This window comes from Homo sapiens, chromosome 1, assembly GCF_000001405.40.
Source record: "Homo sapiens chromosome 1, GRCh38.p14 Primary Assembly".
In the NCBI taxonomy this organism is placed as follows: domain Eukaryota; kingdom Metazoa; phylum Chordata; class Mammalia; order Primates; family Hominidae; genus Homo; species Homo sapiens.
Window position 1 is genome coordinate 167,230,155 of NC_000001.11, and position 25,831 is coordinate 167,255,985.

General features: G+C 37.8%; 1 protein-coding gene and 1 long non-coding RNA gene across 11 annotated transcripts in view, besides 1 other annotated feature; both read left to right on the plus strand.

Moving 5' to 3' along the window:
• The window catches only part of POU2F1 (POU class 2 homeobox 1), a 206,461-nt gene that overhangs the window by 9,270 nt on the left and 171,360 nt on the right, over positions 1 to 25,831 (plus strand). For 2 of the 10 annotated variants that reach the window (NM_001365848.1, XM_047422875.1), the window contains one exon: positions 11,253 to 11,456. The exons of the other annotated variants lie outside the window; for them this stretch is intronic. The gene's annotated coding sequence lies outside the window, so the exon portion shown is untranslated. Of the gene's footprint in view, positions 1 to 11,252; positions 11,457 to 25,831 lie in introns of those variants that run through there. 10 annotated transcript variants of the gene reach the window in all.
• Positions 11,463 to 25,831, plus strand: part of LOC124900412 (uncharacterized) — a 52,839-nt gene continuing 38,470 nt past the window's right edge. The window contains exon 1 of the long non-coding RNA XR_007066718.1: positions 11,463 to 25,679. This is a non-coding gene — a long non-coding RNA (uncharacterized LOC124900412). The remainder of the gene's footprint in view (positions 25,680 to 25,831) is intronic.
• Positions 19,547 to 19,596: an enhancer, noted in NCBI's record as "active region_2037". NCBI's record gives its function as "activates an Ori minimal core promoter by ATAC-STARR-seq in GM12878 lymphoblastoid cells {active_cell/tissue: GM12878}" and the evidence as "EXISTENCE:reporter gene assay evidence [ECO:0000049][PMID:35858748]".

A 25,831-nucleotide genomic window follows, 5' to 3' on the forward strand; every position in this document is an offset into this window, starting at 1 on the left:
AGTTTGAGACACATGACCTGAATGTGTACCCAGTGTTTTGGTCAAGCCAGTGTGTTTGGGACGTTGTGTGAGAACCTTTACTCACACTTTTTCCTCCATTGGAAGGCCATGGTGTATGGTATGGTAGAGTGAAAAAAGGTACTGGGGGGTTCAGAGACCTGGCTTCTCTGTCACTAATTAGCTTAGTAACTTTAGGACAAGTTACTTCACCATGGATTTTTTTTTTAATTGCATTTGTAAAATAAGGGATTTCAAACTTTTAAAAGCCTTTGGTGTTCTTTTTTAAAGGCAAAAGTGGAGCTGTTCTGATTAAAATTGGATATTGGAGCAAGAAAAGCATTTTCCTCCTCCTTTCCACAGTAGCTTTTGAGGCACTTTCACAGGGTCCTTAGGACTTCTGCTGGTCATGACTTGAAAACTTTTGTCCTTATTTATCTTAAGGGACCTGTCTGTCCATTTCTTTATCTCCACAAATAGCCATCTGTCAAATCTGAGCTCCTGTCATACTTTCTCTGAAATTAGCACTTAATTTGTGTTCAGTTACCCAATTCAGCACTTCATTATACACAGTCCTATTTTCTTCTCTAATTGATTATGTAAGTAAATCTTGTCCTAAGAGCCTTGAGTGCAGGAACATACTGGTAGGGACAGAGTAGGCCTAGACATTTAACAAATAATGAATGCTTGGTTGATGGACTTAGTGGTTCTCAATCTTTGTCACCATGGGGTGACCCATGGAACTTTTTCAACATAAGAAGGCCCAACTTCTAATACAGTAGAGGTCTGAAAATCCATACTTTAAAAAAGCTCTACAGGTGATTTGATAACATTAAATGATTACTTGTTGCACTTCAAGATTATTTATTGCTTAGCATACCTTGAATAATGGTTTTCAGTTAATGCACCAGAAAGGCCCTATACTGGAAAGACAGACTGAGAATTAGGAGACTTGGATCCTTATTCTGCTTTTAGCATTAACGATAATAGCTTTCTGATCCTGAATAAATCACTAAATTTTTCCAACCCATAGGATTCTTATTGATAAAATTATGGGCTGAGCTAGGTGAATAGTTTTCATACTTTTTTTTTCCTTTTTAAACTGGAATTATTCAGAAACATCTTTTGGGTGAAGACCAGTAAATATAACATATATTTTTATCAGTTCGGCTTTCATCTGGGTACCTGAATATTTATTAAAAATATAGAACATGGTAAGCTTGGTCCTGTCCTAGTAGGAGAGCTAAATTGTATGCAGTAGGTAGTACTGAAGATGGGATTTAGACTTTAAACTTGAAACATCCTATTAGAATGCGAATGAACAAAGGTAGTAAGCTTATCAATAATTGTGGTACTCAGTGTGAATAAAAACTAGATTATGATGAACCAATATGGCCAGTCTTTCTGCATTCATTTAATTCAACAAATATTTATAGAGCTTCTGCTCCTTGTAATGTACTGAGCACTGGTGGTAGAGTAATGAATAAGATAACATCTCTGCCCTCTCAAAATGTATATTGGTCAGTTGGGGAAATCATATGTTAAATAATACTGGTTGTAGTTTAATGAGTAGAATACGAGAGATTTGAAGTACCCCAGGAGCATAAGGTGGGGACTGCTAATCTGGACAAGAGGATTTGGGAAGGGGCTCTCTGAGGATATCATGTTTACAATGAGATGTGAAAGATGAATAGGAATTAATCAGTTCAAGAACTGGGAGTGAGAAGTGGAATTGAAAATGTTCTGAGCAAAGGGAACACTATGCAGACATCTCAGACATCCCTCATTATACACAGGGGCATACCACAAGGGGATTGGTTCCAGGATTCCCTACTCGTGTGCCCTCCTCCCCCAACACACACACACCAATATCAAAATCTGCACATGCCTCAGTCCTGCAGCAGGCCCTGTGGAACCCGAGTATGTGAAAAGTGTGCCTGGCCCCTGGGCCTCAGAGCCCCTGTGACTATGAGCTGTTTGCATCCCGTGAATTCTGTATTTTTAATTTGCATGTGATTGAAAAAACCTGATTTAAGTGGACCCACACAGTTCATACCCATTTTGTTCGAGGGTCAGCTGTACAATCACGTACCGCATAATGACTTCTCAGTCTATGGACCAGTATACAATGGCAGTCCCATAAGATTATAACAGAACTGAAACATTCCTATCTCCTAGTGACATTGTAATGATCCTGACCCTGTGTGGGCCTAGGCTGATGTCTGTGTTTGTGTCTTAGTTGTTAACAAAAACATTTAAAAGGTAAAAATTTAAAAAATTTAAATAGATAAGAGCTTATAGAATAAGGATATAAAGAAAAATTTTTTGTATAGCTGTACAGTGTGTTTGAAACTGTTATTACAAGAGTCAAAAAGTTTTTAACATTTTAAAGCTTATAAAGTTACAGTAGGCCCAGCGTGATGGCTCATGCCTGTAATCCCAGCACTTTGGGAAGCCGAGGTGGGCAGATCACCTGAGGTCAGGAGTTCGAGACCAGCCTGGCCAATAGGGTGAAACCCCATCTCTACTAAAGATACAAAAATTAGCTGGGTGTGGTGGCACACGCCCATAATCCCAGCTACTCGGGAGGCTGAGGCAGGAGAATCACTTGAACCCGTGAAGTGGAGGTTGCAGTGAGCTGAGATTGCGCCACTGCACTCCAGCCTGGGTGACAGAGTGTGAGACTCCATCTCAAAAAAAAAAAAAAAAGTTACAGTAAGCTAGTTAATTTATTATTGAACACAGACTTTTTCTCTTATAAATTTAGTGTAGCCTAAGTATATGGTGTTTTTAAAGTGTATAGTAGTGTACAGTAATGCTGTAGGCCTTCATATTCGCTCACTCGTCATTCATTGACTCACCCAAAGCAACTTCCAGTCTTGCAAGCCCATTCAGGTAAGTGCCCTCTACAGGTATACCATTTTTAAATCTTTTATACCATGTTTTTAACTATACTTTTTCTGTGTTTAAATATTTTTATTTTTTAATTTTTTTTTTTTTTTTAAGTAGGGTCTAGCTCTGTCACCCAGACTGGAGTGCAGTGGTGCAGTCACAGCTGACTGCAGCTTCTACCTTCCAGGGCTCAGATGAGCCTCCTACCTCAGCCTCCTGAGGAGCTGGTACCACAGGCGCACGCACCCATGCCCAGCTAATTTTTTTTTTTTTTTGTAGAGACGGGGCTTCGCCTTGTTGCCCCGGCTGGTCTTCAACTCCTGGACTCAAGCAGTCCTCTTGGCTTGGCCTCCCAAAGTGCTGGGATTACAGATGTGAGCTCCTGTGCCTGGCCTAGGTATTTTTAAATACACAAATACTTACCATTGTGTTAGGATGCCTGCAGTACAACAGTAGAATAACATGCTGTACAGGTTTGTAGTCTAGGAGCAACAGGCTATACCATATAGCTTAGGTATGTAGTAGGCTATACCATTTGGGTTTGTGTAAATATGCTCTGTGATCACACAATGACAAAATCATCTAATGACATAGCATCGTTAAGTGATGCATAACTGCACATACAATTCTTGAAACTAATGAAAACACAGCACTTTCAAGGAACAAAAGTTCAGCATAGCTGGTTCAGGAAGCATGAGATTTAGCTGAAGAGCCAAAGATGATTTTCATGTTATGAGGCTATTTGCATGATCTTTGTACTTTTTAGTGACAAGTCCACAGTTGGAAATTGTGGACGAGATTCCATACTTTTCAATAAATACATTGATTCCTAGTAACAACAGCAATAACATTTATCAAGTCTTTGTGCCAGTTGTTGTACTAAATGCTTTACATGCATTTATGTTAATTACAGTGACCCCCATGGGGTGTGTATTGTTATCCTATCTTTCAGGTTAGGAAACCGAGGCTTAAAGAGGCTAAGTGGCACACCTAGGTCTCTGTTTTGATTATAGCAGTAAGCAGTTAAGATCATTATCAGGCTCTTACCCGTTAATTTCTGCTTCAGGCCAGTGGAATGATGAAGCATATATCAAATGGAATTGGGGGATTGCAGAATTTCCACTGTTAAGATCTATAGATTTAACAGCTGTTATTCTGAGTTTAACCTCAGTGTTTGTACAGTTCCCAGGTCCAGATTGTGTGCTCTAGAATCAATTGTGCATTCTTATCTCTGTATTGCATTTTGGAGACACAGACAATTGATTATCAGATCTAATGTTAACTTAGCTTTCAGGATTTCTAGATGCTGACTATAAACGTTTTTGAAGTTGGTTGTATGCAAACTGCTGATCCTGGTAACCCATACATTCTCAACATTTTGGGTTTTTGTTAAGAATTGTATTTTAGGGTAGGTTTGGTGGCTTATGCTTGTAATCCCAGCACTTTGGGAGGCTGAGGTGGGAGGATTGCTTGAGACCATGAGTTTGAAACTGGCCTGGGCAACATAGCGAGACCTTCTCTCTGCAAAAAAATTTAAAATAATAGCCAAGCATGTTGGTACTTGCCTATAGTCCTAACTATTCTGGATGCCGAAGCAGGAGGACCTCTTGAGCCCAGCAGTTCCAGGCTGTGATGGACTGTGATTGTGCCACTGTTCTCCAGCCAGGATGACAGAGCAATACCATGTCTGTTAAAACAAATATATATGAAACTGAAGCTAATTACACATGTTAACCTTGGGATAATTTTCATCTGGAGCAGCATTTATATTTTTTTGTGACCCAGTTGGTGAAATAGAAAATTAGGATTTACCCTGTTTACATGTTATTTTGATAAAAACATAATTTAAACTATTTCAGTGTTGTCAAATGAGTTGTGACTTAAAATTAATATGCAAGCAAATTATGCAAAAAGGTGGATTTGTTTACCACTTTTTACCAACCACTTCCTTTCTCCCATACCAAGCTGTTACTAAACTAGGGCTGTAGCTTTCAGTTGAGGAAACATGACGGTTGATTATTGTTTCTAATAATAGCTATTATTAGAAGTCAGCTATTTCATGGCATTGGTTTCCAGTCATTCACACCTCATTTAATCATGCCCTGCATCACCTTGTTGAGTTGTTAATGCTGTTTATTTCTCAATTTTTCTTTTACACTACATTGCTAAGTCCCCCCATCTTCCTCTTCATAGTGCTTTCCCTACCCTCTGAGTACTTGCTTCTTCATGCTCTGGCCAAGGAGAGTGGTGTTTTGGCAGACTGTTTTATACATGTACACTTATATGCCAATCATCATTAGTTAGAAAGGAATTGGTGAAAATGCTCTTATGTTATGAGAGACATGTTCAACATCACAATAGTCTGAGAAGATGAATTAACAATTTATGAGTGTTGCTGGAAAGTATGATTTCAGGCGATTAGACTATAGGGGCAAAGCCATTGCCGGCTTATGCTGTTGGAATCACATCTTAGTAGTTACATAATGCCATCAGGACCAGTACGAGACTGGTTTGGTGATTGAGCCCATTTCCTGGGATTTGTTCCTATGTATTGCAGACAGATGTCCACGCTTAGGTGTGCATGCTCCTGTCATGCATGTACACATAATTTTTAAAAAAGGAGTCATAGTGCATATCCTATTATATACTTGCTGTTTTTCCCCCATTGCTCTCTATTCTTTAGTTCACTCATTTAAATAAGATAAACATTTTAATGAAATCATATTCTTTGCAGTAACTTGGATGGAGCCAGAAGCCATAATCCTAAGTGAATTAATGCAGGAACAGAAAACCAAAGACTGGTTTGGTCTGTTCTGCTGAGACCTAGTGGAGGAGGCTAGTCCAAAATAGTAGTCTCCCATAAACTTTCTTTAACAGAATATACACACTTAAAAATTTTGTACATGTCGTCAGGTTGCTTTTAGTACCACTCTATATTTTTTATCTACAGTATTTAATAGTGTCAGTTTCTCCTGCACTGTTAACTATTAGTCTTTTAAATTTTTCCTAGGTTGATGAAAAACACTTCATTGCTTTAATTTTAATGTTTTTACTCTAATTTGGACATCTTTTTTTTTTTAGACAGACGATTGCTCTGTCTCCCAGGCTGGAGTGCAGTGGTGTGATCTCGGCTCCCTGCAGCCTCCACCTCCCAGGTTCAAGCAATTCTCTGCCTCAGCCTCCTGAGGAGCTGGGATTACAGGCGCCTGCCACCATGCCTGGCCAATTTTTGTATTTTTAGTAGAGATGGAGTTTCACCATCTTGGCCAGGCAGGTGTTGAACTCCTGACCTCATGATCCACCTGCCTTGGCCTCCCAAAGTGCTGGGATTACAGACATGAGCCACCGCGCCCGGCCGACATCTTCTTATTAAATTTTTATTAAATTAAATCTTACTAAATTTTATTAAATATAAAATCTTTTATCATTAGTTTTCAAATGTACAACAATGATTTATTTTTCCTGTTTTGGCCGTTTCAGAATACTTGTAGTTTTCCTGAAAATTTATGACTTCTTAAATATTCTCTTTCGACGTGTGCCTGCCCCACCTCCTTCCCCGCAGCTAATTCCTATACCTCTTTGGAGAAGTAGCTTAGGGATGCAGGTGGAGCTTGGATCAGTCTACCTGTTAGTCACATGCTTTACTTGCATCCCACTATTAGCTGTTCATTTATAGAAAGGGGATGGTTGCAGAGTCTGGGCAGGGATGGGTCAGCTGTGGCACTGTGGTCCTGGAGAGTCATACCCTACTCTTGGACAAAAATGTTTCTCTTAGCAGAGAACTGGAGTGAGCATATTTTTTTTACTCTGCTTTCTCTAAAGGCAATTTTAATTTTTAAGTCAAATATATGGGAGGTAGGGATAAAGGAGAAATGGAAAGATAATAGAGTTTTAGCAGTCTAGGGGTCTATTTCCTACACAAGGGCTTGGAAATGATAAGACTAATCCTGAAATATTTTCAGTGCTGGATTTCACCTAACCTCCTAGCAAGCTTGGAGTTCTCTGGGACTTGGGGAGCAAGAAATTTAAGGAAGCTGACAATAAGGAGGAAGGTATCTAACTTCTGAGTAGAGATGGCTTGATGGTGATGATACTTGTGAACTAGGGTTAACATACAGCAGTGACAGCATTGTAAAGTCTGTCAGTGGTGAGAAAAGATGACAGTGACCTTGAAGGAGAGAGGCTATCTAACGAGAACATACTTATGCGTGTTGGGGAGTGTAAACGCCTACCTAGACTTTCTGCTGGGTTATTTAGAATGTTGAGAAGTTAATAGATTCATATTGTTGCATGCATAAGTTTTTGTCCTACTATTTGGGATGGATGAGGAAAGAGCTCAGAAAAGAAACAGGTTACAGTAACAGCCCTGTTGGTCTTGTTTGTTGTTTTTCCGGTACCCTTTGGCCATTTTTATCAAGTAATTTTTGTATTTTCTTTTTCATCTGCCGGTATGTTATTTTTACCATTTTGAGTGATGTCTGTGGAATAAGAAATGTTTGTAAATATTTTGTGACTTACATGGTAAGCTTGACTAGGTTTACACAAAGTCATTTTGTACTACCATTTGTCTGATTTCTACAAATACATTATTTGGGGGTATTCTTTAATTTTTCTTTCCCCTTTTGTCCTTAATTCCTCTTCCCCTGTTCCTCCAGTTAATTGAGTTACTGGTTTTATTTTTTAAATCCATATATGTGTGTGTGTATATATATATATATATATATATATATTTTTTTTTTTTTTTTTTTTTTTTTTTGGCAGAGTGTTGCTCTGTCGCCCAGGCAGGAGTGCAGTGGCGTGATCTCGGCTCACTTCAGCTTCCACCTCCAGGGTTCAAGCGATTCTCCTGCTTCAGCCTCCCGAGTAGCTGGGATTACAAGTGCGTGCCACCGCACCCGGCTAATTTTTTTGTATTCTTAGTACAGATGGGGTTTCACTGTGTTGGCCAGGCTGGTCTCTAACTCCTGACCTGAAGTGATCTGCCCGCCTTGGTCTCCCAAAGTGCCGGGATTACAGGTGTGAGCCACCATGCCCAGCCCATATATTCTTAATTTCTTGAGTAAGCCCTTGATTTCTCATGTGACCTTTTTTCTGATCCCTTAAATTAAAAAATTTTTTTGAGATGCATTAATGTAAATTTTATCCATTTATTTATTTGTTTCATTTTGTCTCTCAAGTTGGTTTATAGAGATTTATCAACTGTATGGCAAGAAATGCAAAATAAAAATATAAAAGACCTAATATAAAAATCTAATATTTATTTCCGGTGGGGCCCAAATACTCTGTAAACTTCTTAGTAGATGATGCAAACAAGGAAAACTTGGTCAATTTATGCCCATAAAATTTGAAAACAAACAAACTTTTAAGAAAAGCACAACAATTCCTGGTACTAAGATCAGAAGGAAACTTCTCTTCAGAGGCCTTATAAACAGGACCCTATGTAATGTAATAAACAGTGCCCTCAACAGTCTTCCTACTGTGGACACACCAACAAATTTCAGAATGCCCCTGTATAGGCCAAATGCATCATACCAGAGCACCTTCATTAAGGCAGTTAATTGGTGGGAGATGAGGATATTGAGTGAGGACTATTCAAAATGGTCTGACTTAAAAAGGGAAAAGATTTTGGAATAATTAGAAGAATGGAGATACTGCATATTCTTTAGGCAATCTTCCATAAATACCTGTTTTGTTCACAGTTAGTACAAGGTTACTGGCATAGGGTAGGTTATCAAGAAATGTTTTCAGAGTAAATACTGGGTTGCATTGGGTTTGAAATTACATTTGTTGGTGCACATCATTGAAGGTAGAGTGATAAGATTTTCATGTTGTTCAGGGAGACTAGTTGGCTACTCAGATGGGTGGCTAGAGTGTACTTTGCCCTAAACAGTGCAGGGCACATCCTGAAAAGTTTTGTTCTCTAGGCTCCCCTTTCCTATTCTGAATCCAGGCACACACTCTAAAAATCTTTAACCTTTAATCTTTTCTCCACCATTCTTTTTTGTGTATGGTGTAAGGTGTAACCCTGACAAACTTTTTTTCCCCCCCAAATGGACAGCCAACTGTCCTAACACTACCTATCCCTTCTACCAAAAATGTCAGTTTCAGTCATTCAGTCATTTAACCTAGTGTTCTTTTTCTGACATACGTAGTGTTCTTTTTGTGACATACCATTTGTCAACTGACAGAAAAAGAACACTAGATTAAATAGTCTACTTTAAAAGTATTTTTAAATAAGGAGATATAGTTTAAATTTCGAATATCTGTGAATCTTCACTCCCCATATCTTTTTTGCCATGCTATCAAGACATAGTTAACTCCTAGTTATAATAAATACAGTGCTTATCTGGTATAGATGCCACTGCTTTACAAGAGTAAAAGAACATATGTAAAAGTGCTGTCCATGGGCAGCAGTTCAAGGGGTAATTTTAATTCGTACCACAGGTATACATACACATTGTAAACTGCTTTAGTGGCTTAATGGTTGTATTTTGACATTGTAGTCAAATTTGATACTCCCACCCCAACCCTCACTTTTATGCTCATTCTAGCAAGTGCTGGGAATGCTAAAAGCAGAATACATAGCCCCTTGAAGAACAATATACTTAAAAAGTGATCACCTTAATACAGACATGAAAGTTTCCTCTCAGCATTAAGCTAGAGTTTAGGTGCTTGGAATGATTGAAATTGATTTTTTAGGTAGAAGGGCCAGATGGTGTTGGGACAGTTGGCCGGCCATCCATTTGAAAAACACAAAAAATGTATGTCGTCAGGGTTATACTTTACACCGTACACAAAAAAGAATGGTGGAGAGATTAAAGATTAGACTGTTCAAAGAAAAACTCAGAAAAATACTAAGACAAAAATACAAATAATTTTTATTTAGTTTTGGGGATGGAAAGGCTTTTTTTTTTTTCTTTAAGCTATGAATAGGACTTTATGGAAAGGCTTTTTTGACATGACACACAACTCAAATGCCATAAAAGGAAAAGATGGATAGATTTAACTATATAAAATATTTATGGTTCTGCCTTCTGAAAGACTCTACAAATAAAATTAACATAATATATGGTAGAAAAGTATTAGCCTGTATGGAACATAGAGGGATAATTTTTCTTACTATATCAAGTTCTCTTAGACATTAGTAGTACATAACAAATACCCCAGTAGTCGAAGTGTATGAATAGTCAATTCATGTAGAATAAGGGCTGTGAAGATATGAACCCTGACTAGAAGCCTCTGCTGTAAAGACAGAACCTTCTTTAAGTCCGATATAAAACAAAAGGATGAAGAATTACAAAATGTATGCTTTGGTAGGGCAGTGAAGAAATTAAAATATTAGAAAAAAGAGTAAGAGTTGAATACTGGCCATTGTTTTAGAGGTAATTGAGGAAGCGTATTTTATATACTCGTGGGTAATTTTACTACTTTAAAGGTGGAAAAAATATTTAAAATAATGAAATAAATAGAGAAGGGATTCCTGCTGTTCCTGATTTAACACACAGGACAACAGATAAATGATTATGAGCTTATACTTAGCCTAAGTTTGTGTGGAAACTGTTAGTTTCTTCCAAGATAAGTGTTTCCTAGATAACTGAAAATCTACTATTGTTTTAATTCACTTTTTCTTGTGCTTCTGCATAAACATATTTAATATATGCCTTTGGTGTCCCAATGAAGTTCACCTTTTACAGTTGGTTTGAAGCCCTTCCCTAGAGGTTTGCCAACGTTATTTCTATGTGGAAATCCATTCAGAACCCAGCTTCTGAAACCTTTGCTTTGGGGACACCTTGTTCTGTAATGAAATTATCTGAAAAGGCCGGGCGCGGTGGCTCATGCCTGTAATCCCAGCACATTGGGAGGCCTAGGTGGGCGGATTACCTGAGGTTGGGAGTTCGAGACTAGCCTGACCAACATGGAGAGACCCCGTCTCTGCTAAAAATACAAAATTAGCCTGATGTGGTGGTGCGTGCCTGTAATCCCAGCTACTCGGGAGGCTGAGGCGGGAGAATCACTTGAACCCGGGAGGCGGAGGTTGCCGTGAGCCAAGATCGCACCATTGCACTCCAGCCTGGGCAACAAGAGTGAAACGCCATCTAAAAATAAATAAATAAATAAATAAATAGTCTGAAAAAGTTCTCACCCAGGAGATAACTCTCCTCTCCTATTTTACACATCTCCCTTTGATTTGCCAGTGTAAAGCAATAACCTTAGCAGAATGATGTCTTCTGTCATAATCTATTTGTCTTCATAAGGGCATGACTCAAAGAGGTCTGTAGAATCTGTTTTTTAGTGCCGGGTGAAATAACTAAATATTTCGTTTTAAAAGGAAGGAATTAATCAGGAACCTTTTATGATTCTAGCTACTACTGGGCTGTAAACAGTGATGCCAGCAAAATGTTACTTCAGCTGATGAAGTGATGCTGTTTCGAGAATTTGAAAGCAATTTTTCAGTGGATAAAGAAGTTGACAGCACGATTTGTTGGATGTGATGAAGGATTAATGAGCATACACCTTCACTTGTATTAGCTTAAGATGGAATGGTTCTGGGCAATATAAAATAACAGGTTTTCCAGTTTATTTTTATTACTGTACTTGCTTGTTTATAATATTAGGCATATTAATTAACACCTATGAAGCCCATTTGGTATGCTAAGCACTGTTCTAATGTTTTACATGAATTGTCTCGTTTAATCTTCATGTCAACACTTATGTAGGCATCATTGTTATGTGTTTTATAGGTGTAGAAAACTGAGGTACAACGAAGTTAGGTAATTTCAAAAAGTTAACATAACTGGAAAGTGGTAGTGTTAAAAATAATTTGAGGGTTTTGATTCCAGTTTTCATGCTAACTTTAGTTGACTAAAGGAAGGATACATTGTCTAATTTAATCACAAACGCAGCTATGTGAGGAAGGATTTTTAGAGTTCTCAGAGCCTAAGTTTTCTTAAGTGCCTAAAAAAATGCCTTGGTTAAGGAAGATATTTATGGTAGAAATGCTTTGTTATTGCCAATTGCTTTTATCAGGATTTTGGACCTAAGTTACCTGTTAGGTGCTAAAATATTTTTAAAGATGATGAAGCATCCAAGTGCTGCTTGTTCATTTACACTTTTATTAAGTAATTGTGAACATTAATTATGGTTTAACTAAGAAGCACCAATATTAATACTTTTGGTTTTCAGAGTTTCAAAGCCGCAATTTTGAGTTGTTCGGCCTGTTTAGTGACAGTCAAAAAATAAATGCCATGCACGAGAATTTCAGCACTATGAGCAGTGATAGAAGAGAACCAAGAAGAAGTGTATACCTTTGGAAAATGTGTTTCCTGTTATAGACACATAGAAGGACCTGTTGCCCTTGATGATTCTGCAAAGCTATAAAAGCTGGTACTTGAAAAACATGGTGTAAGAAACCCAAATCACAGAAAGACTCTAAGACCAGCTTTCTTACCATGGTGACGCATTGAAGCACTAAGTGTTTGAGCACATCTCACAGGATGATCTAGCTATAGAATTGACAAGATTTTGCCCTAAGATAGTTGAGAGAAGCAAATGTATGCTTTCTTCCATGGCATAATTTTACCTATTTACCTTTTATGTGAAATTAGCCCGAATCAGGAGTCACAGCTTAACCTGTTTATATGGGTGAAACTTTCCATATTGTGAGATGTTGTTTTTACTAGCAAAGTAACAAGAAATGAAGAACCTTCCAGAGTTTGTAACTTACTGCCTTGCTATGAAAATGATACTTCAGATACAGTGATGTGTTTATAATGTCTCCTTTTGCGTAGGATAAATGCTGTATCTGTATATGTATGGGCAAAATTCAGAAAACTATTAATCATACACAATGTATACAGACATACGTATATTCTCATTCTCCCTCTCTCCCTCCCCCTCCTTCCACCTGCCTCTCTCCCCCGCTTTCTTTCTTATTTCCTTTGTTTCCCAAAATGAATTCTACCTTTATTAACTCAGTTGAATTTTCAGCAAGTGTCTACTAATTGAGACAGAATCTACTGTTCTTCAGTGCCGCTACTTAACTATATGCTCATCTCTTTCTACTCATATCTCTGTTTTATATTTTTACTTGGGACGTTATTGCATGGTAATTAAGAATACTGGCCTAGGAATCTGACCGGTTAATGTTTCAATAACTGACCAGTAGCTTGATTCCTTCAACAAATATTTCAGTGCTTATTGTATTAGGCATTGTTTTAGGCACTTAAGAAAATCTAGGCTCTGAGAAGTTAACTGTAAAAGCCCTTCCTCATGTAGCTGTGTTTAGGATTAAGTGAGATAATGTATATAATTGCTGAGCACGTTGGAATCTGTCGATTTATGTAAACTATTTCTTATTATCTTCAAACCTTTTAATGACTTGGAACTCTCAAAGTGAAAAAGTAAGTATGAACAGGTATAAATTTATTTTTTTAATTTTTATTTTTTTTTGAGACGGAGTCTCGCTCTTGTCGCCCAGTCTGGAGTGCAGTGGCGTGATCTTGGCTCACTGCAACCTCTGCCTCCCAGGTTCAAGAGATTCTTCTGCCTCAGCCTCCCGAGTAGCTGGGATTACAGGCTTGCGCCACCATGCCTGGCTAATTTTTGTATTTTTATTAGAGATGGGGTTTTGCCATGTTGGCTAGGCTGGTCTCGAACTCCCAACCCCAGATGATCCACCCGCCTCGGCCTCCCAAAGTGCTGGGATTACAGGCTTGAGCCATCACACCCGGCCTAAACTCTTTTCTTGAATTAAGTTTCAGGATTGACAGCCTTCATTATAACATGTCCCATGTAATTAGCATCATGACCACTATCACAAACATACTGATAAATATAGTACAGGACCCAGATTTCAGCACCTGTTACATAGAGCCATTTGTTTTTTTCCCCTCTTATCCGTAGCTGCCCTCCACAAATATGGATAATGGACCGAGAGTAGACTGTGCTGTGTCTGCCCATACTCTGAATCATATTGCCAATCTCCTACTCATCCTGCCTCTTGAGAATCCTGAGCACAGGACACCTGAGATAGCAAAAGGTCCTTCCTGTAGTAAAAGGCTTACAGAGTCAAATGGCTGGAGCGGTGTGAGAATATGGACTCAGGAACTTTGGAATTGGGAGTACATTTTAGATTAGAAGATAGCATGTAAAGGAAGAAGGAGAGAATTTTTGTGGGTCAGGCATCTGGGCATGGCTCAGGTGGGTCCTCACAAGGTTGCAATTAAGATATTGGTCAGAGCTACAGCCTCATCTGAAGGTTCAACTGGGGAAGCATATGCTGCCAAGCTCACTCACACAGTTGTTGACTGGACTCAGTTCCTTACTGGTGGTCGAACCGAGGACCCTGGTTTCTTCCTGGCAGTTGGCCAGAGGCTGTTCTCCATTCCTTGCCATGTGGACTTCTCTGGCTTGCTTCAGAGCAAGCACATGAGAAGAGCCAGATAGTGTTCCAGCTGGAAAGGAGTATTAGCAAGACAGAGTCACAGCTTTTGTAACCTAATTGCAGAAGTGACATCTCATCCCTTTTTCAGTATTCTGTTTATTAGAAGCAAGTCACTTGGTCCACCCCACACTCAAGGGGAAGGGGCTACACAAGGGTACAAATAGCAGGAGTTCATGAATCATTGGATGGCCATCTTACAAATCCACCTATCACCTACCTACTGAAAGCCTTCAGTAAGCTTTAAGAGCATACAGGAGCCCTGACACCCAAAAATTAGAGAACTGCTGATCTAAATGTATGTTACATTGGTGGAACATGTATGGGAGATATAATACCTTCCTTAAAAAGTTCTTCTCTAGGATAAGATCTTGGGCCTTGGAAGCCTGTATATGGGGAGTGCAGGTAAAATCAGGAAAGCCTCCCCTTTTTGTCAACTTCAGTTTCTGGAGAGAGGGATCTTAATACTACATAGCTGTCTTCTAACATCTTTTAGGAAGTAACACAACTATGACAGGAACAGTAGTGAATGTTAGAAAAAATAAAAGGTCTGAGAGAGGAGAATAGGAGCATATTCTTGCAAAGCAGAAATAAAACTTTTTAAAAAAATCCGTGCCCTTCAGTGAAACTTTTTTTTAAAGGATCTTTGTATGTTACCTTATGGGAAACTCTAGAAATCAACTCTAAAAATGAAATTTTGAGTAACAATTTTTAGAATGGTTGTTAAAATGGCTAAAAGCTATTATGTGACTCAAATTTCTTTTTTTTTTTTTGTTTGAGACAGGGTCTCATTCTGTCACCCAGCTGGAATGCAAGTGGCATGATCGTGGCTCAGTGCAGCCTTTACCTCCTTGGGCTCAAGTGATCCTCCCAACTCAACCTCCCGAGTAGCTGGGACCACAGGTGCACCACCACCATGCCTGGCTAATTTTTTTTTTTTTTTTTTTGAGATGGAGTTTTGCTCTTGTTCCCCAGGCTGGAGTGCAATGGTGTGATCTCAGCTCACTGCAACCTCCACCTACCCGGTTCAAGTGATTCTCCTGCCTCAGGCTCCCGAGTAGCTGGGATTATAGGCATGCGCCACCACACCCAGCTAGTTTTGTGTTTTTAGTAGAGACGGGGTTTCTCCACATTGGTCAGGCTGGTCTCGAACTCCTGACCTCAGGTGATCCGCCCACCTCAGCCTCCCAAAGTGCTGGAATTACAGGCATGAGCCACCACACCTGGCCCAGCTAATTAAAAAAAAAACTTTTTTTGTAGAGATGGTTTCACTGTATTGCCCAGGCTAGTCTCAAACTCCTGGGCTTAAGCAGTCCTCTTGCTTTGGCCTCCCAAAGTGTTGGAATTACAGGCGTGAGCCACTGTCCGTGGCTCAACTCAAATAATTTCTGAAAATTGTGATAGGATTTTATTGTTTATGGTAGTCATTCAGTCTGAACAAGAAGCTATGTTTTTCATACTCAGTCCTTACTAAATGGACAGACAAAAAAATACTTTCTGAAAATCTAAGTTTATTTCTGCTTACAAATCTAAAAATAAGCAAGGTTATTGAGAAGAATTTGATGTCAGTTAAACTGTATTGTAATATCTAAGATTCATGTACAAAAATAGAAGTAATGATAATAATGATAGAACATTAAACAACAAATGAGCCCTTCTATCAGATTTATTGTTGTTGAGAAGGTTGTCCTTAAGTCACTTTGAATTTTTTTTTCATGAAGACCCACCTAGGAGATTTCTTTCAAATCCTAAATACCTGAAAAAAGTTTTGCTTTTCTTGAGAAATCAAATGCTGCTGTTCCCCCTTTCCTCCTAAAGCAAAGTTTAGAACATTTTCTTCTTTGCTTTAGCCACCAGGAGTCTTAGTGCCAAGTTTATGCCTCAGTTGAATAACTTTACATATTTACATTCGAAATATATGCTCATTTAATCTTCTATATTGTTCCTTGTTTCTGATTTCTGTGTGTTTTACTTTTCTCTTTAGGTCTTTGCTTAAAAAATATTGAATGAAATTATTATTATAAAATTTTTTAGTGAACTTAGAAAATTGTTAGCTTCACAAATAATCTAAGAAGTATAAATTAACACTGAGAAACATTTAAAATCAGATTGTAAGAAATGAAAATAATGATGATTTTCAGTGCTGACTGACAAATGCAGTAAATTGGACACTCATATCTGTTAATGGAAGTGTAAACCTGTGCAGTCTTTTTGTAGTGACTTAAAACATATACCTTAAGGAAATTCCTTAAGTTTGGAAAAAGCTATGAACAAAGGTGCTTATCTGTCCTTCATTTTAAAAAGGTGAAATTTGGAAATAACCTAAATGGAACTGTTAAATGAGCTATTATATACCTATGTACTTTATGGAAGGAGTAATACTGTATTTTTAAAAATCATCAAAATGAAACTGACCCAGTAATCCCATAGACAGTAAATCGATTAGTTTATACTTTTAGATGCTTTAGGATATAAATAAATTGGTAACTATGAACCACGTGCTATAGAGTTTAATGCTAAATGTAATTTTACAAGTAAATCAGGTTATATATATATGTGTGTGTGTGTGTGTGTGTGTGTGTGTGATTGAATTTTTTTTTTTTCCTTAAAGAAACAGGGTCTCACTCTGTCGCCCAGGATGAAGTGCAGAGGTGAGATCAGGGCTCACTGCACTCTCAACCTTCTGGGCTTAAGTGATGTAACTGCCTCAGCTTCTCAAGTAACTGAGACCATAGGCGTGTGCCACCATGCCTGGATAATTTTGTTTTATTTTTTGTAGAGACGGTTGCCCAGGCTAGTCTCAAACTCCTGGCCTTGAGTGATCCTTCTGCCTCGACCTCCCAAAGTTCTGTGGGATTACAAGTGTGACCTGCCACACCCAGCCTGTGATACAATTTTTATATCTCCGAATTTTAAAATGTTTGGATTTGTAAAGGATTCTTCTAAAATGGCATATATTCTAATCTTTACCTAAATTTCCTCGTTACCCAACTTTTTCCTCATCCAAAGCTTCTTTTTGTTGTTGTTTCAAACCTGAAAATATCCATCCCCACTTGAGTTTCAGTTTTGAGCTATATAGTACTTACTAGGCTTCTATCAATTGGAACATTGACCTGTTTATAGTTTTTTTTTAAAATTCTGTCTATAATACAATGATCCAGTATACATACTATTCCATACTGTTAACTTTGGTGTAGGAATTCTGTTGTTGGTCAGTAAGGTAAGTGGAATATGTCTTTATGACTTATTGGAAAAGACAAACCTAGCTTGGCTTTTCTACGTGTTTTACATATGTACCTTTGAAAAGGTATGCTTAAATATTAAACAAAAAGTACAAGTAGAATATTTATACCATGCAATCAAACTGTGCAGATTTTGAATGTTTAAATTTTGCCATGTTTAACTTTTTTAAGGTTGCATGCAGAGAGATAAAACAACAATGGACACTAGTCAGATTCTCATAACCAGTGAGGGGGAAGTATCTTTTTCTAATAATAGAATGATCTTTGGTTTGTGAAAAGAGGTGTGTAGTTGGAAGTTAATGTATTTTTCTTTACAGAGTATACAGCAGTTTACTCCTTTTAACCTGTTATCAGATTTATTTTGGAAAGAATTGTGTGAGTAATGTTCTGAATTTAAAAAAGCATTGCAGGAAATTGATGTGTGATTATTCTTTTGAGTACAGTGCCCTTTAAGAACTCAGTGGGTAGTTATGTTTACTTGTTTAACTGCATCACATTTATTCATGATAGACAAGACAGCAAGTTAGTAGATGAACTTAATGGATGAATTTGTTTTGCTTTGTTATACCTTGCAAGAAAGCACAAAACAATCATCTAAGGCTTTATCGTCTAATTTCCATCAGGTACTGTGTTACACTGATTTGCATACATTGCTGGACTTATTTTTAACAGCCCCCTGAACTTTAAATAGAAAAGGTAGCTCCTATCCTGGAAGAACTCACAGTTCGGTAGGGAAAGGGAGGCAAGGAGCAGGAACAGATGAGTCAACTGAAATTATAATACCCTGTGATAAATGCTGTGAAGGATATAAATCCTGTATGCTATGGAAGTAATGGAATAGGTTCACTTAACCCAGTAGTTTGTGGGGAGGAGGGAGAGGAAGAGTCAAGAAAGACTTCTCAAAGAAGATCCCCAGAGCTGAGGGATAATAGGAATTAGGTTGGGATAAGGCGGTTGAGGGGAGTATGTTCCTTGTAGTACTGAACAAACACAAGAGCATCTAAGAGCATTTCAGTCTTTTAACTACAATAATAGGTAACATTTAATATACAGTGCTTATTATGTGCCAATTGCTATTCCAAGTGCTTTGTATTTTCCATGTATTAACTCCTTTAATTTTCATAACAACTTTATTATGTAGGTATTATAATTATCCCCATTTTACAGATGAGGAAACTGAGGTACAGAAAGAGAAAATAACTTGTCTAGGATCACATGATGAGAAAGTAGAAGAACTAGGATTTAAACCCATGTTGTCTCATTTCGGAGTTTTGGCTTTTATTATGAGAAAAGTTAAACTCTGGATTGCACCGGAGATAAGTACCTGGGGTGAGAAAACCTTTTCAATTAATTCTTCTTACTGAAACACATATATTATTTTCTTAAAATCTGAAGCAGTGGATCCTATCCATTTTTTTCTGCCTCTGTAAGAATGTTTGGCATCCTTTATCTTCTCATCTCCAAGCTTTCCCTAGTAACCAGCCCTCTTAAACTTCAGCATTCTCGAACTTCTCCCTTCTGTTTTCTCTAGATACCAGCCTTTTGCTTCCCCTTATCTCCAGACTTCTTTGTAAACTCCTCTAAACTCCCTGCCTCTGCTATATAACTTTCATTCCCTCCTCATCCCATTGAAATCTGGGTTCTAAAGAGAGATTTATGAGGAAACTTGCTAGGCAGTGTAGGGTTATGCCTTCTTTTTGTTTTTCTAATAGTGCTTGACAGGTCAAGGTGTAGAAGTAGGAGTGGAGATGGCAGCCCTCCAGGATTGGGGTCTTTGTTAGGATGTGGAACAGAAGGACAGGGGAGCAAGGGAGTGGAAAGTCTTGACAGGAATGTCATTCATGGACCCTGTGGTCTCAGTAGAATTTAGAAGGAAGTGAAGACGGGAGTGAATTGATGGTCTAGGGGAAAATGGAAGAGCAGGAGGTCAGGTGAATTGCAGAAAAGCTCTTTAATGGGAGTAAAAGAGCCAGAGGTCTGGGAGTATTGAGGTAGTATTGGGAGAGTTTAAAGTTTTAGAGGAGGAACTGTCCTGAGTGATACATTTCAAGATCTGGTGGTCATTGGTGTGAATGACTGAAGTGACAGTCGTGAGAGTTCATGCTGACTCACCTACAGTGAGGATGGGCCTTGTGTGTGCAGTGGAGCACTGTGATGAGCAATGAAATAATGAAAGCATCATTTGCAAGATGGTGTTACCTTTGCCCACTTCTTGCTGTCAGATGGTAGATACTTATTTCATTAACAGGAGTTATGTTTATTTTTGTAATTGACATTTTATTCTTGTTTGCATAGAATAATGCAAAATCTTCATTGAAAAGGAGCAGTATCTGTAGTATCAAATTCTTTTGTGTGTCATTTTTTTTTTCAGTATATTTTCTAACATAACACTTAACATTAGCAGTATTTTGACCTTTTCTGTCATTCTGGACAATCTGTTCTGGCATTTTCCTTCCGGAAAATAGAGAAGAGAAAAAAATATGAGATGAAGAACAAATGGTTGGGCACTCATCTTTAATTTTGATTGTTAGAATTGTTTAGGTTGTTAGAATTCTGGTTGTTAGAATTGTTGTAGATGTTTGGGGAACATCCATCATGGATCAGATAGAAAAGAAAACAGTGTTTTTGGCTTATTATTACTTTGCTTTTTGTTTTAATTTTATATAGTTATAATGTTACAAATATTTCTCAATTTAAATTATAGTGTTTAAATTTTAGGTAAGAATGGAAAATGATGCCTGTTAACATTTTTATTCTTGAGAATGTTGCCACAGGAACATTAGAGAAAAAAAGTAATCTTGTGTTTTGAGAGAATTCATTTGTTGTTGACATTCCCCTCAGAGGATACTACTTTGATATGTACAAATAACAAAGGTAGCAATATGGTTTGTTGGTTTTCTTTAAACTTTGGCATAGCCAAACCTTTAGTGGACCCTGGAGGCATTTTCTTATCAACAAAGTGGATCAAACTGACTCTAAAAGTGGTTTCTAGTAATCTGGTAAACAGAAGAAACATATAAGGGCCCAGCATATCCTAAACATTTCAATTTTCTGATATACTAGAGCACTGTTTTTAAAAATGGATTTTAATAACATTGTCTTCTTAGTTATAAGTTATTTTATTTCTCCAAATTTTGTTACCTTCCCTAATTATGCTCAGTTTAGGAGCATAAATGAACACATATACACAGACTTTATTTTGCTGGAATTCTAAAAGCAAATTAAGACATTATTTTAGTAGTTTCAGAATTGTGTTCCTCAAGAGAACAGTAAAGATTTAAGTAACAACAGTTTTGGTTAATAACAGTGAAATTTTCTTTTTGTGAGGTGTATTATAAGAACATCTCATATGAGTAGAACATGAGGTATTTTAGCTTTAAAGCTAATCTTGGGCCAAGTGTGGTGGCTCATGCCTGTAATCCCAGCACTTTGGGAGACAGAAGCAGGTGAATCACTTGAGCCCAGGAGTGTGAGACCAGCCTGCCCAACATGTGAAACCCCCATCTCTACAAAAAAATCCAGAAATTAGCCGGTGTGGTAGCAAGCGCCTGTGGTCCCAGCTATTCAGGAGGCTGAGGTGGGAGGATTGATTGAGCCCAGTAAGTCAAGGCTGCAGTGAGCTGAGATCATGCCACTGCACTCCAGCCTGGGTGACAGAGGGAGACCTTGTCATAAACAAACAAACAAATAAATAAATAAATAAAATTAAGCTAATCTTGAATTCATTTGTACTTAACTAATTAGGCCTAGTATTTGTCAAATTCATATATTATTTGGTAGAGTATGGAGGGAAATATACTTAAGTGTTAGTTTGGAGAGGTAGTTTTAGTATGTTATTGGGGAATTTTTACTTTTGACTTTCCCTCATGGTCTCTGTATATCAAGTACTAGGAAAACAGCATTTTTCCATTAAAGGGCTCATACTTCTTGGAACTTCTGGTCTGACAGGCTGATCTTGTTTGTGTGACTACATAGGCTATGTTTAGGTTTCTTTACGTATTAGGCTTTACAAAGAAGATGAAAACACCATATCACTTTTGTCATCACGGAACATATTACAGGTTTCATAATGGATAACGTAAAATAATTCAGCTCACTGTATTTTTTGTTTCTTCGTTATATCTTTTTTTTTTTTTTTAAACAGAGCCTCACTGTGTCGCCCAGGCTGGAGTGCAGTGGCACTATCTTGGCTCACTGCAACCTCTGCCTCCCAGGTTCAAGCAATTCTCCTGCCTCAGCCTCCCGAGTAGCTGGGATTACAGGTGCATGCCACCATGCTTGGCTAATTTTGTATATATATATATATATATAGTTTTAGTAGAGACCGGGTTTCACCATTTTGGCCAGGCTGGTCTGGAATGCCTGACCTCAAGTAATCCACCTGCCTCGGCCTCCCAAAGTGCTAGGATTACAGGTGTGAGCCACCGCTGCAAGTCTCTTCTTCATATCCTGATTATTTAAATCAAATGTATTTCTTTTCTGAGGTCTTGGAGTTTTCCCCATGTTTTAAAATGTGTTTCCTTACCTTTTAACTTATAACAGAATCCCTTTAAGACGCTTTTACAAATGAAGGCCATGCTATTTGCTATTAGGATTATCTGAACAGACCAACAGAGAGTATATTTGACCAACAGTCCAGGTTTCATGTGAAGAAGGAGAAGCACGTATGTTTGTAGTTCTTTGTAGTTTGTGCCTACAAAACAGCAGTCACCACTAAAATACTTATTTGAAATATTTTAAAGTGCTGAGATTACATGCGTGAGCCACCGCGCCCGGCCTGAATCTGTTTTTAATGTTAATTTTTTATTTTTCTCACTGAAGGGGAACCAGCGCCCTATTAAACTCCATTGTTGGTAATTTGAGAACACAAACCAATTAATATCTATATTCTGAATAATTATATAGTTAAGGTGCAGCTTTTATTATATCTGGCTTTTTACTTTGTTGCAAACTCCAAACCAAAGAATGTTCATAACTGTCCTACAGCAGTGAAATGAATTAAAGTAATTCTGGTCATTAGAAAATCTTTAAATTATTTTAAGAATACGTAACTGACTGTGATAACTTCTTGTTTATAACAGGTTAACATGGATGACTAGTTTATAGCTTTTGATCTTATGTGTAATGACACTGGGAAGAAAACATGTATCCCTCTAAGGTAGCATTTCTGTTATTTCTATGCCCAAAGACTGTGCTGACCGCCATTTTGCCAGAAGCTTTGAACACTGTTGACTGATTGATGTGTACATCTAATTCAGATTTACATAATCTAATTGGACCCTTGGGTTCTTAAAAAATGGCCTTCTTTTATCACCATATGTGTTCATTACAATGCATATTTTAAAATGAGATGGCCCAAAGAGCATGCTATGATGAATTTACTGTTGAAATACTTGTGAAACTTGGATAAACCTAATTATCAAGGGACAGTTTCACTTAAGAGGGCAAAAGTTTCACTTCAAAGAAAAGCCTACTGCTCTTGCTTTTAATGGTTTGAATTATGTTTTTATCTTTCATCAGCCCAAGAGTTTGTACTTCAGGGTCAGAAACAAAACTTGGAGCCTCTGTGAATCCTGTAATCATTTACTAACTCTCTTGTAGAACAAGATGTCATTTTTTCCTACTATTCTGTTTCATTCTTTATTTTTCTGCCCCCCCCCCCCCAAACACACAGGAGAGTGGAACTTGGGATTATAATTGGTTAATGGGTTTTTTGGGTTTTTTTGGTCTTACTCTGTCACCCGGGCTGGAGTGCAGTGGTGCTATCTTGGCTCACTGCAACCTGTGCCTCTCAGGCTCAGGCGATCTTCCCACCTCAGCCTCCTGAATAGCTGGGACCACAGGTGCCTGCCACCACGCCTGGTTAATTTTTTGTATTTTTGGTAGAGACAGGGTTTCACCATGTTGCCCAGGCTGGTCTCAAATTCTTGAGCTCAAGTGATCCGCCGGCCTTGACCTCCCAAAGTGCTGGGATTATAAGCCTGAGCCACCACGTCCAGCCAGAATTTTTTATTTTTTAAGAAAGAAAGTTTATCTTAGGTCCTCCTTCCCCCATACCCCATTTTAATTTGGTGCCAGGTTTGCCTGTCTCTGTGGAGAAAAGAATAGAAATGTTGGCTGAGGGAAAGTTTTTATGTCTCCTCTAATACGTATTTCATTTTTTTCTATTTGCTCCTTGCTTTTCTAATACAGGTAGGATAAAGAGGCAACTTCAGGAATACCCAGACTTTAGCTCCATCTAGGAATTTTTATTGGTTTGTTTTTTGACTAGAGTGTAGAATGGAAGCTCTTTTGGCTGGGTTGGGTCCTTGGGCAAAATATTTCAGACTCCTGTATTATATGGTGAATTAAATTGCTTCACTGGCACTTTTTCTTTTTTAAAGCCTGTTCACACTTTATACAGTTTTTGAAGAGGAAAACTTTGGATAGTGCTCTTTCAAACCAGGCAAATGCCTCGGTTTCTTTTAAAAAATCTTTGTAAAATAATAATATTAGTCTGACTTAAAGGTTATGATGGAATACATATAAAACATTTGGGAGTCTCAATTCTATTTAATGTAGGTTCGATCAATGTTACTAATGTGCTTTAGCTGCAATATATTAATATTTGTTTCTTAGCATCCTGAGGCTAGCCACTTGCCTCTTGTTCACCTTACTAGTACAACTAAACTAGTGTCTGGCCCTGAAGGTGGGCAGAAAATATTCATTAAATTGAATTTTGATGTAGGGATAATTCTGTTTCTTTGTGTCTTGCCTAAGTTTAATTCATGTCATAGTCATGTTTCACATGTATCTTAATTCTTACTGCATAAAATGTTCATGCAAAAGGCAGTATTAATTTTACTCATTGTTAACAATCAGCAAGTACTATTCAGAGTCTGACTCATAACCATAGAGTATCTTGATGCTATAATCAGAAACATTTATTATCCCTGGCTTTAGCAGTTGAACTTACAGGATAATGTTTAGTTCTCATTATCAGAGAAAAAGGTGATTCAGGTAATTTCTTCATTTGTTCGTTTCTCTATCCCTCTACCCCAGTGTCTTGAAAAAATATTTAGCTAGAATGCTCAAAAATGGTGTGTTAGCATTCATTTTCTTCCATTAGGTGATTTTTGTTGACTATCATTAATAGCAATATGTAAGACTTACTATTCATTTGCCTATTTATTCATTCTACAACATTTATTGTTTTTCTACTGCCAGGAACAATTTGAAGTGCTGGATATATTTAGTGGGAATTGGTTTTCTTAGGCAGATTATCATCTGTTTGTGAAGCTTTTTCACAGTGTACGTGCCTGGCCCCAAATCTAGGAGATTCTTGTTTGGTATATTTGGTGTGGTGTAAGTTCAGGCATCTGTATTTTTACAGAGCTTTTCAAATGACTCTAATGCACGTTTGCTTTTGAGTACCATAGGAATAAAACAAGTCTCATTCAATAGGTACTCAAAATAGGTAAATGCAGTAAAGTTTCATAGATGCTGTAAGAGAAACTGTTGGTATAGTGTGGGCACAAAGCAAGAAGTCCTACTAGGTACCTCAGGAAAGGTTTCCTAAGAATAGAAATGCCTAGCTGAATCTTGTTCTCCTAAGTGTTTTAGAGTAGGTGGAACCCATGAATCTATAGATTAGCCTAAGTAAATTCCAGTATGCAGGGCAATGTGAACAAAAAGAGAGAGGTGTGAAACAGCTTACAGCATTTTGGAAATTGCAAGTAGTTGGCATGATTGAATTACTAGATGAGGATGGTTAAAAATAAGATAGTTTTTATGGTGCTGAAAACAAGCATACATTAAAGAATATGAAGAAAGGAGAATAAGAGTAGACTTGAACTTTAGAAAGATGACAGTGATGGTATGAAGCATAGATTGGAGTGGTATGAGAATGGAGGTAGGGAAATGGGTTGACATAGCCACAAGAATCCATACAAGAGCAATTCAGAGGCCTCAACTAAAGGAGTCGCAGTTGGAGAGGAAGAGGATTGGAAAAAAGAACCATAAGGAGGTGGAATCTTTGAGAATCGGTGACTGACTGGATTTAGGAGACAAGAAAGACGAAGTAATTTCTCACCTATATGAAGAATATGGTTGATGTGCCAAACATCAAGGTGAGGGTTTTAAGGGGATGATTAGGTTTTAAAAGAAGATAATGCAGATGGGAGGAGGAAATGGGAACAGGGAGGCATTTACCTTGGATAAGAGAAGGTGTAGAGAACATCTGTGTTTTTGCTTGGAGGGACTCACTCCTTTCCTACTTTTA